Genomic DNA, 14,601 nt, shown 5'->3' with positions numbered 1-14,601 from the left:
TTTTATTATAGCATGACAGCACCATAGACAATATGTTAATGAATGGACATGGCTGTATTACAATACAAATTTATTTACAAAACCAGGTGGTGGGCTAGATTTGTTCTATGGGCTGTAGTTTGCCAACCACTAGGTAAACAGTGAGAGGTAAATATCTAGTGCAAAATGATACTAAATAATGTCTTGAACACATTCCCAAATTTCAAATGATGAGTAAGAAATACATAGATCAGTGCAATTTGATTTGCCTACGTTAATAATATAGAAATCACAATTTCATATTCAGTGAACTCAATATATAGTTGAACCAATTTTTCTGAGTATCATCAGAACCTGGGAATTATTTACCTGTGCATAATCACCAAAAGGTGGAGAATAAGCAATGCACTTTTCCAATGCGTGTTGTGATTCACTTCCCTGAGAGATTGCATCCAGAATGCTGCTTGCAATTCCAGTCTTATGAAGAGTGGTTTTACTTGCAGGGGCTAAAGGCAGAATCAACAAGTTTATTTTATTTAGGTTATTTTATTATAAATTTATTTTATTTAGGTTATTTTAAATAAATTATTTTATTATAAGTTATATTATAAACAAATTATATTTTATTATAAATTGTAACTCAGCACATTATCAAATAGAACAAAATTTTAGTTTGCCAATATATAACTAAATAATTTTCCCCTGAGAAGTATATAATACTGTCTTATTCATTTGGAACAACTTAAAATGGACACCTGTCTCATGGGTAAATAATTTTGGTGGAAAGGTTCAAAAACATATATGTCTGGCTGAGCACGGTTGCTCATGCCTGTAATTCCAGCACTTTGAGAGGCCAAGGTGGGAGGATCACTTGAGCCCAGGAGTTCGAGATTGGCTTAGGTGACATGGTGAAACCCCATCTCTATAAAAATACTAAAAATATAAAAATTTGCCAGGAATGGTGGTGCATGACTGTAATCCCAGCTACTTGGGAGGCTGAGACATAAGAATTGCTTGAACCCAGGAAGTGGAGGTTGCAGTGAGCCGAGATGATGCCACTGCACTCCAGACTGGGTGACAGAGCAAGACTCTGTCTCACAAACACACACACACACAAAATTAGCTGGGCATGGTGGCACATGCCTGTAGTCCCACCTACTCGGGAGGCTGAGTTAGGAGGATCACTTGAGCCCAGGAGGTGTAGGCTGCAGTAGCCAAGATCACACCACAGCACTCCAGCCTGGGTGACAGAGGGAGACCTTGTCTCAAAAAAGCAAAACCCTAAAACTTAAAGTATAATAAAAAAATAAATAAATAAATAACCCAAAACAAAACGTGTGTGTGTGTGTGTGTGTGTGTGTGTGTGTGTGTGTGTGTGTGTCTAGTCTCTAAAACAAGGCATATAAAATGTAAACTAACCATTCTTATAAATGTAATAATTGTCACCATCAATTTTTAGACCAGATCAATATATAACAGGTATACTAGAAGTGCCTTTACATTTTTTTCCAGCTCAAAAAAAATTACAAATTAATGTTTGGATTCAAGGATATTTCATAAAATACAGAGGATGTATATTAAAAATGAAATTCATCTTTCATCTCTTTTCATTTAATCCTATTCTTCTTCCCAGAGGTAATAGTTTAGAATTTACTTTTTTGGATTTACTTCATGCATTTGCACTCTCAAGTATATACATGTAAGGATATATAACTTTAAATAAACATAAATGGAATCATTTTATGCATATATTTGCCAAAATATGCTTTAGAGTTCATCTCATATCAGTATATGTAGATATCCCTCAATTATTAAAAAAAAAGTTGCACAGTATTCAATTTTATGATGAACTATTTAAGCATTCCCCTATTGACAAATATTAAGTATTTTCCAGTTTTCCCACTATTTACAACCAATGTTGCAGTGAACATCCTTGTGCCTGGAGCACATCACATTTGTGATTTTCTCTTAAAACGATATTTGAATGAATAGTTGATTTATAGTAATTGAAGGCTTGAGGGTTTCCTCCAAAATGTAAATGAGAATTCCACTTCCACCAATTATTGGTAGCTCATACATTCTGGGAGTATTCAAATACTCAAGATATATAAGATTACTTATAGGTTTAAACTTCTGGTTAAGAAAAATGACTCTCTATGAGTTGTAATGTTTTCCTTAAATAAAATAGCACGCATTTTGAGTGTCTTAGTTTTAATTATTCTTTCAATTTAAAGAATAATTTAGGCCTTAATTTGGTCAATAGGTATTATTTGCTTCCATGAAGTCAAAAATTAAAGTAAAACTTATTATGAAAAGTATTCAGTAAAACTCCACAACAAGAATACTGAGCCCCTACTTACATGATAAGCACACACTGGGCAACACACTTGCCAAATTCAAGTATGGATTTTTACTGAGCCGAATTTCTTTTGGTGGTTCTCCCAAGAGTGAAGTTTGATTCTTAGAGGCAGCCTATTTAACAAAAACAAAGGAGGGAGTACTTAATGAGAGGTACACGAAAATAAAAATAAAGAATAGAGAAATACTTATTTTTCAATACATCTAGTGTACTTATGAAATATTTATGGATGTTCACTAAAATTATCACATTTCACCTGTTATTAGTTGTTCAATTAGGTTTTTAAAAAACTATTGTAGAGCCATAGAACTTTAGAACTAAAAGAGAATGAAAGGACATCTTATACAACCTTCTCATTTGAACCAGGAAAGAATTCATCTTCACAAGAAAAACCAAATTCCATATCTCTTTTCCAGAAACACTGTTATCTATCTGTCTGTCTGTCTGTCTATCTATCTATCTACCTATTTTTTTTTTTTTTTTTTTTTGGAGATGGAATCTCACTCTATTGCCCAGGCTGGAGTGCAATGGTGCAATCTCAGCTCACTGAAACCTCCGCCTCCCAGGTTCAAGCGATTCTCCTGCTTCCGCCTCCTGAGTAGCTGGGATTACAGGCCCGCACCTCCATGCCTGGCTAATTTTTTTATATTTTTAGTAGAGATGGGGCTTCACCATGTTGGCCAGGCTGATCTTGAACTCCTGACCTTCGTGATGCCCCCGCCTTGGCCAAAGTGTTGGCTCAACACCAAAGTGTTGAGATTACAGGCGTGACCCACCGCGCCTGGCCTGTTATCAATATTTTTACTGAGATTTTTATATTTTATGACCAAATAACAAAAGCAAAGCTTATTTACCTCTGGTACTAAAAATAATGTCAAACAAAATAAATGAGTTTAATAAACTCCAACTCCACATTTAGATGATGCTAGAAATACACATTTCTTGAAAATGTATATCAGTATATTTTTATGTATTAGTTAGGTGTAAGGATTCTAGCACAGTTGACCCTTGAAACAACATGGGGGTTAGGGGTGCCAACCCCCTACACAGTGGAAAATCTATGTATAACCCTTGTCTACCCAAAAACTTAACTACTAATAGCCTACTGTTAACTAGAAGCCTTACCAACAGCCAACAATTAACACATATGTTGTATGTTACATGTATTATATACTGTATTTTTACAATAAAGTGGAGAAAAGAAAATATTAAGAAAACCATAAGGAAAACACATTTACAGTACTGTAGTATTTATCAATACCATAAATTACATCATTTGTTTACAATATGGATCTGTCTGAAATGGTGGACAACAGCAGCTACAAACCTCAATCTGTGGTACACATCAAGCAATTCGAATTTTTCTTACAATGTCATGACATTGTTTCTTGAGAGCACTTCTAGTATCGCTAGTGGCATTTTTATGGATTGTAGGATGTTATTCAAGGTTTATGGTATTGCACTAAACATGATGAAAAATATGCAAGCATGACGAGACATCACTTTTTACTGCAATAAGCAATTTACTGGAGAGATGAATGGCTCACATGGAGATGATTAGCAACATACAGCATTTTAAGTGGATCCTCTCAACACTTGAGCTCACCGCAATAGCAACAGGAAGTAGCTACAAAATTATCACAGTAGTACGGTACACACTACAGTTAATTTTATGCAGTTATGATTTAATACTGCATCTTTATTTTGGTTTACGTTTCTTTTGACTGTGAATGGTGCCATGTACGGTCTGTAAGTATGTATGTTAGTTTTGCTAAATTTTAACTTTTTAATAATAGGTTTGTATACATGTTATGGTAGTAAATTACAAACTAGACTAATATCTACATATATTTTATGCATTCATGACATATATAACTTTTTCTTAATTTTTTCAATATTTCTAGGCTATGGGGTTCATTTGTGAGTTTTTTCAAACTTTTTCAAATTTCCAAAAAATTTCCCACTATATTTCTTGGAAAATATCCAAGTATAAGTGGACCTGTGCAGTTAAAACCCGTGTTGTTCTAGGGTCAACTGTATGTAGAAAACTCCTAAAAACTGAGCAATGACAACAAAAATGAACCTGATTTAAAATGGGCAGAAACTTTAATAGACATTTCTCCAAAGAAAATATACAGATGACCAGTAAGCACACACAAAAATGCTCAACATCACTAATCATTAGGGAAATGCAAATCAAAACCACAATGAGACACCACTTCACACCCATTGGGATGGCTATCACTACGAACTGAATGTTTAAGTCTCCCCAGAATTCATATGTTGAAATGCTAAGCCTCAATATGATGGTCTTAGAAGGTGGGGCCTTTGGGAGGTAATGAGGTCATTAAAGTAGAGCCCTCAAGAGTGGGATTAGTGCTCTTATAAGAAGAGACATGAAAGGTCTTGCTCCAGCCTTTTACCATGTGAAAATGGAATGGAAAGATGGTCATCTGTAAAGCAGGAACAGTATCCTCATCACACACTGGATTTGCTGGCACCTTGCACCTTCTCTTAGAATTCCCAGCCTCTCAAACTGTGAGAAATAAATGTTTGTTGTTTAAACCACCCAGTCTATGGTATTTTTGTTACAGACAGCTAAAACAGAAAACAAGCGTTGGCAAGGATGTTGGAAAATTAGAATCCCTGTGCACTGCTAGCAGGAATGTAAAATGGTGCAGCTGCTGTGGAAAAAAGGATGACAGTTCCAACAAAAATTAAACATGCATTATGGTATGATCCAGCAATTCCATTTCTGGGTACATACCCCAAAGAATTGAAAGCAGGGACTCAGATACCAATGTTCACAGCAGCATTATTTACAATAAACAAAAGGTAGAAACAACCCACATGTCCATGGATGGCTGAATTAAAACATGGTATATACGTACAATGGAATATTATTCGGCCTTAGAAAAGAAGGAAATTTGGATACATGCTACAACATGGATGAATCTAGAAAACATTATGCTAAGTGAACTAAGCTACACACAGAAGGACAAATATTGTGTCACCTAGGTACCTAGAATAGTCAAATTCATAAAGACAAAAGTAGAAACGGTGGTTACCTGGGCTAGTGGGAGAAGAAAATGGAGAGTTATTATTTAACAGGTACAGGTTTCAGTATGAGATGATGAAAAAGTTTTGGAGATGGAGAGTAATGATGCTGCACAACAATGTGAATGTACTTAATGCCACATCACTTAAAATGGTTAAAATGGTAAATTGTATGTTATGTATATTTTACCACAATAAACAGAAACTGGTTATCATCCCTGTCTCCCTGAATAAAATTCTCAAAGGTTGGAGTTGGGGTCCAAATCTCTTTTATTTATTTATTTATTTATTTATTTATTTATTTTTGCACTAGAGGTGATTCTGGAAACAAAAAGGTAGACTCAAGACTTACTGGCCAACACAATATTAAAGATGCAGGTCTAAACATCTGAAGCAAAGTTAAACCAATCATTTCAGCCAAGTCTAAAATCTCACAATTAGAAAACACTGAGGTTACCTGGTACAACCCCTACTGACAGAAAGAGGGATCATTTCTATTAATACAACATCCTTTACAGATGCTTGCCTGGGCTCTGCTTAATTGCTTTTGGTGATATGACATTCACATCTTTGTGAAATAAACTTTCTCTTTGCTTAAAAGCTTGAATTGTTCTTCCTTATATTAAACCTAAATCTGCTTTATTGTATGTTGTACTTAATAGCCAGTTCTGCCCACTGGAGGTACACACAATACTGTATGACTACTCTTTAAATAGCTTTAACAATGTATATGTTTGGTTGTCCCTTTCCAGGTTCCATATATCCATTTCTCCTGAATTCTTCTTCACAGGACTTATTTTCCAGAACCTGCCCCCATTTTGGCTGTCCTCTTGTAGATAGACTCATTTGCCCATTATGTGAATCACCTAAAATCCACAGTTCTTCTAAAGACTCTGAGGCTTTCAGTGAATTAAAGATTGCAAAGAGACATGAAGTATTCATATACAAGTTTTATTTGTGTAATTTCCCTCAATAACCCAAGCAATGAACACTGCAGATAAATTTTTAAAATTCATTCTATAAAGAATTGACGGCCAGGTGCAGTGGCTCACACCTGTAATACCAGCACATTGGGAAGCCGAGGCGGGAAGATCACCTGAGCTCAGGAGTTCGAGACCAGTCTGGCCAACATGGTGAAACCCCATCTCTACTAAAAATACAAAAATCAGCCAGGTATGGCGGTGTGTGCATGTAATCCCAGCTACTTGGAAGGCTGAGGCAGGGGAGCCACTTGAACCCAGGAGGCAGAGGTTGCAGTGAGCCGAGGTTGTGTCGCTGCATTCCAGCCTGGGCAACAGAGCAAGACTTGGTCTCAAAAAAAAAAAAAAAAAAAAAAAGGACTGCATTAGCTTTCTCAATATACAATTGCAGGGCATTCTAGTCATACCTCTTGCTATGGCTAGGTAACACTAAAACCTCTTACAAATTCAGTATTATTATTTTGACACTTGAATACAAGAAACTACATAGATTTTTTTTCCTTACAAACTGCTTAAGCCTAAGTTTTATACCACTTACAAACCACAGTGTATTTTAGGGTACAAATATAATAAAAATTAGATGTACTTTAGTCTACCTACTTATTACAACATTTATAAATATCAGTGGTATTTTAGCCAATAAAATGATTCGGTAAAATCTTCCAGAATTAAAAGAGAGACCAGATTAGTTTGAACAGACCAGAGTTTAATAGCTGGTTTTGATATTTTCCGGATAAAATTGGTTCTGCCTTTAAATATTAAAATACTTTAATTAGCTACCAAATATATATTTAAGATAGAAAAAAGTATATTTGAAAGAACAGCATTACTATGTACTTAGAAAGCCTTACAAATAACATTACTACGTAAGCGAATAAGCATTGATACTCCTAAGCTTTTTCAAACTACAAAATTCTGAACTTAAACTAGTTTATATCTTATATTTAAAATAGCAAGTATTTTTGAAAACCATGTATATCACAAACTTTTTGGAAATTCCTTATTCTCTTATAAGGAATAAAGAATCCACATTTAAATTATTTATAAGAGACGTAACTCATTTTACACAAATTAAAATTACTTTACTTACAAACTGGCAAATAATTAAGATAGTCCCAAATGCCAGCTAGCATAACTTATCAAAAAATGGATTTTTTGTTTGCTTTATTTATAACAGATTTTTTAAAAGAATGCAATGTTTTCTTCAATTTTGAAAAGTAAATGTAAACTATGAAAAAGTCATCATTTCATTGACACGACAATTTAAGACATAATTTAAAAGGAATATATATACATATACATGTATATATACATCTGTGTGCACCCACAGTTTTCTTACCCCTGAACTTATCTCTGTGCCTTTTGGCTGGCTTTGCTGCTGCTTATGGTGTCCCACCAGCAAGCTTCCAGCAGCAAGGTTTGGAAAGCTCTGAAGATAAGGCTGCGACCCTGAGAAATTTCCTTCTGCCATTCCCACCGTGGCTGGCTGTTTCTCCTGAGTATTACTGTGCCCTGGCCCAGCCTGTCCAGCAATGTGCTGATTTGGAAAGAATGGTAACATGCCCATTCCAGCTGTTATCGTTGTTTGAGTTGGAATCAGGCTAGATGCTGTAGCAAACCATAAATGCAAAAAGCTTTTAGTTAGAAAATATTTATTCACAATAGTCCTTTTAATTTTGTTAAGTTATGAGCAAAATGCAGAGAAACCAATTTTGTACCTGTTAGATAACAGCAAAAGGTAAGGTTAGAGGTTGTTAATTAGTGGGTTCCTTTATGAAAAAAACAAAAACCTACAATAGTAATAATGCTCTTATTTTCAGCAACTTTCAGGGTAACCTCAATGATAAGGAATTTTTAAGTTTTTAAATTCTATATATAATTGTTAATTATATATTGTTAAAGTTGAGGGCAAAGTTTATGTACTTTTTGGCATTTAAGCTGTATTAGTGCTTTTTTTTATGCCCAGTCATTGCAACTTGACTGTTTCCATAACTGAAGGAAATAATTAAGTTTTAAGTTTAAAAAGTTATCTGAAATTAAAATTTAATGAAGTTTGATTGACTCCAATAATAAATTTGGTTAGCTGGCTTCCATCAGCTCATGAGAGCTATTAATACACATCTCTTCCCAGCTATCAAGTTAAGTGTCTTCATATTGGTAACTTGAAATCAGTCACAGCTGGAGTATTCACAAACAGAAATGCACAAATGCTACAAATCAAGCCCTTTTTTTCAACCTAGAGAGCTGGTTGTTAAACACTTATCAGCATATCACTGGTTTCTTTTTTTAAATCAGTATTTGTTAATAGATAAGCACTAAATACATGAAAGTTTTATGTTTTTATTTACAGAAAATAACAAGAAATTCTGGAAGAAATAAAAGGGTTTTTTTGTTTGTTTTTTGAGTCAGGGTCTCATTCCCATCGCCAAGGCTGGAGTGCAGTGGCACAATCATGGCTCACTGCAGCCTCGACTTCCTGGGCTTAGGTGATTCTCCCACCCCAGCCTCCTGAGTAGCTGGGACCACAGGCGTGTGCCAGCATGCCTGGCTAATTTTTTGCATTTTAGTAAAGTCAGGGTTTTGTCATGTTGCCCAGGCTGGCAAATAAAAGTTTTAATAGGAAAATTCTGAACCGTTCCACTTTTTAAAAAATCTATAGGTCAAAATTAAATGGAAAAAGCTAATTTTGACAACTAAGTCAGATTTACCATTTTATAAATTTACTAAACAAATTTCTTCAATTATTTTTAGTAATAATCATTTAGAGATGGATACTTTGGTTCCCCTAACGTTTAGAATATAGTTATTTGGACACTGACTTTTCAGTGTTCTTAAAGCGGCATATACTAAAGCAAATAATTTATTAGTTAATCCAACACAAATAATACATATTTGCATAAGCTTTTAGACATAAAAAATTTAATTTTTTGGAAATACAGACCCCATGATATCACAAAATTTCTTCACTGGCTTAACTTTTGTCCAGTCAATTTCAACAGTCAGAACTAAGTTATTTGATCACTGGACAAAAGGTTAAGTAAGCTACGCATATTTAATTGACTTTTTTTTAAATTATTGGTGGCCCTTCTGTTTTTACTCAGCATGCTCACTTCTAAGCAAATTTCAATTAAGCTTCAAGCTGAAAATGCCCTTCAAAATCACATTCAAATAAGAAGTCTTAGTATAACACCATGCTTCTGTTTTCCTGCCAAAAAAGCTATTTTGTTTGCCATGTTTTTAGAAGCACATAGTACACACATTAGTTTTGACTACTGATTTAGAGGTTAAATTTTTTTAAATAATACAAATAAATAATCAAACTTTAAATTTATAAATACTAGATTTTAAAAAATAAAAGTGAATGGTTTCTTATCCCAGCAATAATTACATGGATCCATATGTGCTGTCAGCCCAGTGGGCAGCATGTCAGTCTCAAATGGATCTGTGTCTTTACCTTGTACTGCTGTGAACCTGCATAAAATATTAAAGCATATCCAATAGGGGAAGTCTTATCTTGGCATGGAAGCAAGTCCATCAGTAACTTACCAATATTGAAAATCGAAAAGCCAAGAGGGTTCTCAAAATTTTAAATGACTAAATAAAACTCAAATTTGACCTCCCTGTAAATAAAATTAGAACATAGGTAAACTATCTTTAAATCTCAAACCTGACTGTTTACTGACTTCTCAGTAAATACACATCATTTACTTTTATGTGCTTCTCCATGATGATGTCCCAACTCCTTTTTCAATGGAAGCACTGACCCTATCCCTAGTGCAGTCTGAAGTACCACAGCTGGGGGCTCTCCAAGTAAGCCGGGTTTCTACAAAAGAAGAAAAAAAGGTAAGACCCATGGCCATAAGATATAACCTAAAAAAAGCTACACACGTGAAAATTCATAAACAACCTGATCCACAGCCTGATTCTAGAAAAGAAATGAACTGATTTTAAAAGAAAAAATGATACCATACTTACATTATTAGTATGAATATTCTCAAACTTCATTAATTGTTGTTGTGCCAGTGGTATATGAGAAAGATTCTGAAGGAATAAATTAGAAGTATTACCCATAACTGAGCTCTGTGAAAATGACAAAACGTTGTCAGTTTAATTTTGAAAAGCTACATGTTGTATAACCCAATTCATTTTGAAGTTCAATTCTCCAGTCGATCTGAGTAAAAGTAACTGCTTCTAAACATATTTCACTCTCCAACTTATCAGACAAAGCTAATTAATTATTTTAATAATACACAAGAGGGGGCCATGCAGTCATGAAATAATTCTACATTATTTCATCCTTCGTTCCCTCCTCTCAACCCTTTTTGGTTTCAATGACAGTGACATTCTATTCATTCATTTATTTATTCATTTAATCATTCAACAAAGGTTTATTGAGCACTTTCTATGTTCTAGGCACTGTGCTACTTAGTGAGAAGTACAATAAGATCTGCCCTCATAGATCTTACAATCCCCTAAGGAAGGGAGCCATTAATTAATAAAAAAAACACAGGATTACACATGGTAATCACATGAAGGAAAAATACAGGGGGCTATAAGAACAAATAGTGGAGGAATGCTATTTAGCCTGGAAGATTCAAGGAAGGTTTCTTGGAGGAACTAATTATTGTACTGCAATCTGAAGGCTGTAGTTGAAGTCTGGGAGGGAATTAGGTGATGTTGGGGTGGGAAGCGTTCCAGGAAGAAGGACCAGCAGGAGAAAAGACCAAAGGAGGAAAAAACAAGGTCCTTTGAGGACCAAAACCAGGCTGTTGTAGTGGGACAGCGATCTGCAGTGAGTTGAGAGGCAGGAGGGGCCAGCTCAAATGTATGGGCCTTAAAGGTAATGCATTTTGGTGTTTCTCTTAAAACACAGGGAATATTATCAATACTCTGAACTTCCCCTCTCATATTACTCTCCACTCCTTATTGTAATTAACTGTTTAATGTGTTTTCCCTACTGGTTGAAATTCTATAATAACATAGACTTTAAATGTTACATTCCACACAGTAGCCTCAATGATTAGCACAATGTCTAATACATATATGTCAGATACTCAATAAAATACATTGAGTAAATGAATGAATAAAAACTCTATAATGTATCACCAAGTCCTGTGTTAGATTCTAAGGATGAAAAATAAAAGCTGGATTTAGGACCAGATATTCATTCATTCAACTTATATTAAAATTCGATTATATATTGTTTGATTTGTAATTAGAATTCTATGTTCTTAAACAGTACCTGAAATTAATGAGTAATGCTTATCTCTAATATTACAGACATTTAAATCTATAAACACACATTTAAAATATTTATCTAAAAAAGGTAGGAAACATACTCTATTCTCATATACATGAGTTATTTTTTATAATAGTCATTAAATTTTAAAAATTAAGTTACTGTTCATTTATATTTTCTTTCTAGAAATACTTTTTTGAGTTAAGACCACATAAGAAGCCGTGTCTTGAACAACTTATTTATTATCTAGAAAAAAATATACCACTTTCCTTCTTAATGCCATACAAATTGGAATCAATAATATTTATCATGGTACATAACTACTGCTTTGGCTAGCTTAATTGAATCTGATATACTCAATAAGTTATGATTTTACATACCTATACTTATTATTAAAGATTTTCTTTAAAAGCAAAATACTCATTTAATTTCTTGAGAACTTTAAGTGTTAAGAACAAACAAAATATTCACTCCGAATATTTAATGCTTCAGTACTCAATGTTATTTATGTACCTGATGTGCTTTATTCAAATGTAAAAATGCAGGAGAGATGGATGGATTCATCAGATGTGGCAAGCTGTGAGGTGTTCCAAGAACGGCTTTGAGAAAATAAAAGTAAAAACTTTAATTTATATATGGAATTAAAAATTTTTAAAAACCAAGCTTCGAAAAGGGTAAATGAATATTTCTTTAAACTATTAACAAATCCACTGAAAGTTCAATGATATAGTGACCTTGTCATTGGTCAAAAGTGATAGGTACCTTTCCCTGAGATTCAACCCTGGAATTTGCTTTAAAATTCAAAAGCCTTCTGCCATAATTGTAAAACTCCAAACCTAGGCTTAATTTTCTCTAGAATTTAGTGCAACAAAACACATCCACCTTTAATAAGCACAATACTCATTGAACCCATGTTATTTATTCAGTGTTTTTTTGGTATTTCAGGGATTTTGGCAGAGGGTAGGAGTAGGGGACAAGATACAATCCTTGTCCTTGAAAAGCTTACATAAAATCCAATTGAGAAGACAATATATGTACACAAAAATATTTACATAATAAAATCAAAAGAAACTGCAAAACTGTACACAGACATAAAAAGAATAAATGGTAACAATACTCATAATCGCGTCTAAGAGTCTAAATACCAGAGTACATTTCAAAAGGGATGTTTTTAGAATGGAAAACTTACAAAAGGGAGCAGGTGGGGGGTGTCAGAGATGTTTGAACCAGAGTGCCTCCATCTTGAATAGAAGTTAGGTAAAATAAGGCTGAGACCTGCTGAGCTGCATTCCCAGTAATTTAGGCATTCTAAGTCATAGGATGAGACAGGAGGTCAGCACAAGATACAGGTTATAAAGCCCTTGCTAATAAAACAAGGTGCAATAAAGAAGCCGGCTAAAACCTACCAAAACCAAGATGGTGACAAGAGTGATCTCTGGCCGTCCTCATTGCTACACTCCCACCAGTACCATGACAGTTTACAAATGCCACGGCAACGTGTGAAAGTTACCCTATATGGTCTAAAAAGGGCAGGAACCCTCAGTTCTGGGAATTGCCCACCATTTTCCTGGAAAATTCATGAATAATCCACCTCTTGTTTAGCACATAATCAAGATAATAAAGAAATAACCATAAAAATGGGCAACCAGTGGCCCATGCCACTGTTCTGCCTATGGAGCAGCCATTCTTTTTTGTTTGTTTGTTTTTGAGACAGAGTCACACTCTATTGCCCAGGCTGGAGTGCAATGGCACGATCTCAGCTCACTGCAACCTCCGGCCTCCTGGGTTCAAGAGATTCTCCTGCCTCAGCCTCCCAAGTAGCTGGGATTACAGGCGCTCACAACCATGCTCAGCTAATTTTTGTATTTTAGTAGAGATGGGGTTTCACCATGTTGGCCAGGCTGGTCTTGAACTCCTGACCTTGAGATCCACCTGCCTTGGCCTCCCAAAGTGCTAGGATTACAGGCGTGAGCCACCGCGCCCGGCCTGGAGCAGCCATTCTTTATTGCTTCCCTTTCTTAATAAACTTGCTCTGACTTTAAAAAAAAAAAAAAGGGAGGATGTTTTTAGAATAGATAATATAGAGACACAAAGAGGACCATGAGATAGAAAATATATTTAGAAATTTAATCTAATTATTGTAAAATAACTGGAATAATCATAATATACAAAATTAGGCTGGGTGCAGTGGCTCACGCCTGTAATCCCAGCACTTTGGAAGGCCAAGGTGGGCGGATTGTTTGAGGTCAGGAGTTCGAGACCAGCCTGGTCAACATGGTGAAACCCCATCTCTACCAAAAATACAAAAATTAGCCAGGCATGGTGGCACATGCCTGTAATCCCAGCTACTTGGGAGGCAGAGGCAGGAGAACTGCTTGAGGCTGGGAGGCGGAGGTTGCAGTGAGCTGAGATCACGCCATTACACTCCAGCCTGGCTGACAGAGTGAGACTCCATTTCAAAATAATAATAATAATATACAAAATTATATATATATATATAAAATATACAAACAGTGTCCAGAAAAGGTTCTGGCAACATCTTCTTGTAATATATATGTAGCAAAATAAAAAAACACTGTACTATGAAAGGTAAAATAAATAAATAAATGAAATAAATCCTCATTGTAACCAAATTTTTTAGTATCCATCTAAGTCTACATTGGGACCACCTCAGAAGACAAGAATGATCCAACTTCTTGGTTTCAGGAGTAGAATGATATCAGTGAGATAATCACAGGAAACTATTTAATTCAACAGTTTTCAATATTCTCTCTAGCAAAGGAGGAAGTGCCCAGAGTACACAGGATTGGAGGGAATGTTTAATTCTAGCATAATTTTAGGAAAGTTATGATAATGTGAGGATATATGGAAGATGACTCACTTAGAATTCTATTATCTACTTCAATGAGGAAAAAGGCATTTTTGAGTGGAAAACTGGTACACGGAAAAGAACTCCTCTGCAAGTGATAGGGAATTAAATGTAGAAA

At 34.9% G+C, this 14,601-nt stretch overlaps 1 protein-coding gene across 3 annotated transcripts in view; it reads right to left on the bottom strand.

Annotated features, from left to right (window-relative positions):
* The window catches only part of RAVER2 (ribonucleoprotein, PTB binding 2), an 88,158-nt gene that overhangs the window by 18,044 nt on the left and 55,513 nt on the right, over window positions 1-14,601 (bottom strand). Inside the window, exons 6-11 of one of the 3 annotated variants that reach the window (NM_001366165.2) lie at window positions 12,128-12,213; window positions 10,351-10,455; window positions 10,084-10,198; window positions 7,715-7,983; window positions 2,340-2,451; window positions 349-485 (exon numbers count right to left, since the gene is read on the bottom strand). In NM_001366165.2, the coding sequence (NP_001353094.1) occupies window positions 349-485; window positions 2,340-2,451; window positions 7,715-7,983; window positions 10,084-10,198; window positions 10,351-10,455; window positions 12,128-12,213 (824 nt within the window). Of the gene's footprint in view, window positions 1-348; window positions 486-2,339; window positions 2,452-7,714; window positions 7,984-10,083; window positions 10,199-10,350; window positions 10,456-12,127; window positions 12,214-14,601 lie in introns of those variants that run through there. The other 2 variants (NM_018211.4, XM_011541706.3) reach the window with 2 other exon arrangements.

This window comes from Homo sapiens, chromosome 1 (assembly GCF_000001405.40).
Source record: "Homo sapiens chromosome 1, GRCh38.p14 Primary Assembly".
NCBI lineage: Eukaryota > Metazoa > Chordata > Mammalia > Primates > Hominidae > Homo > Homo sapiens.
Note: the sequence above shows the minus strand (reverse complement) of the source record. Positions and strands in the feature narration are given on the sequence as shown.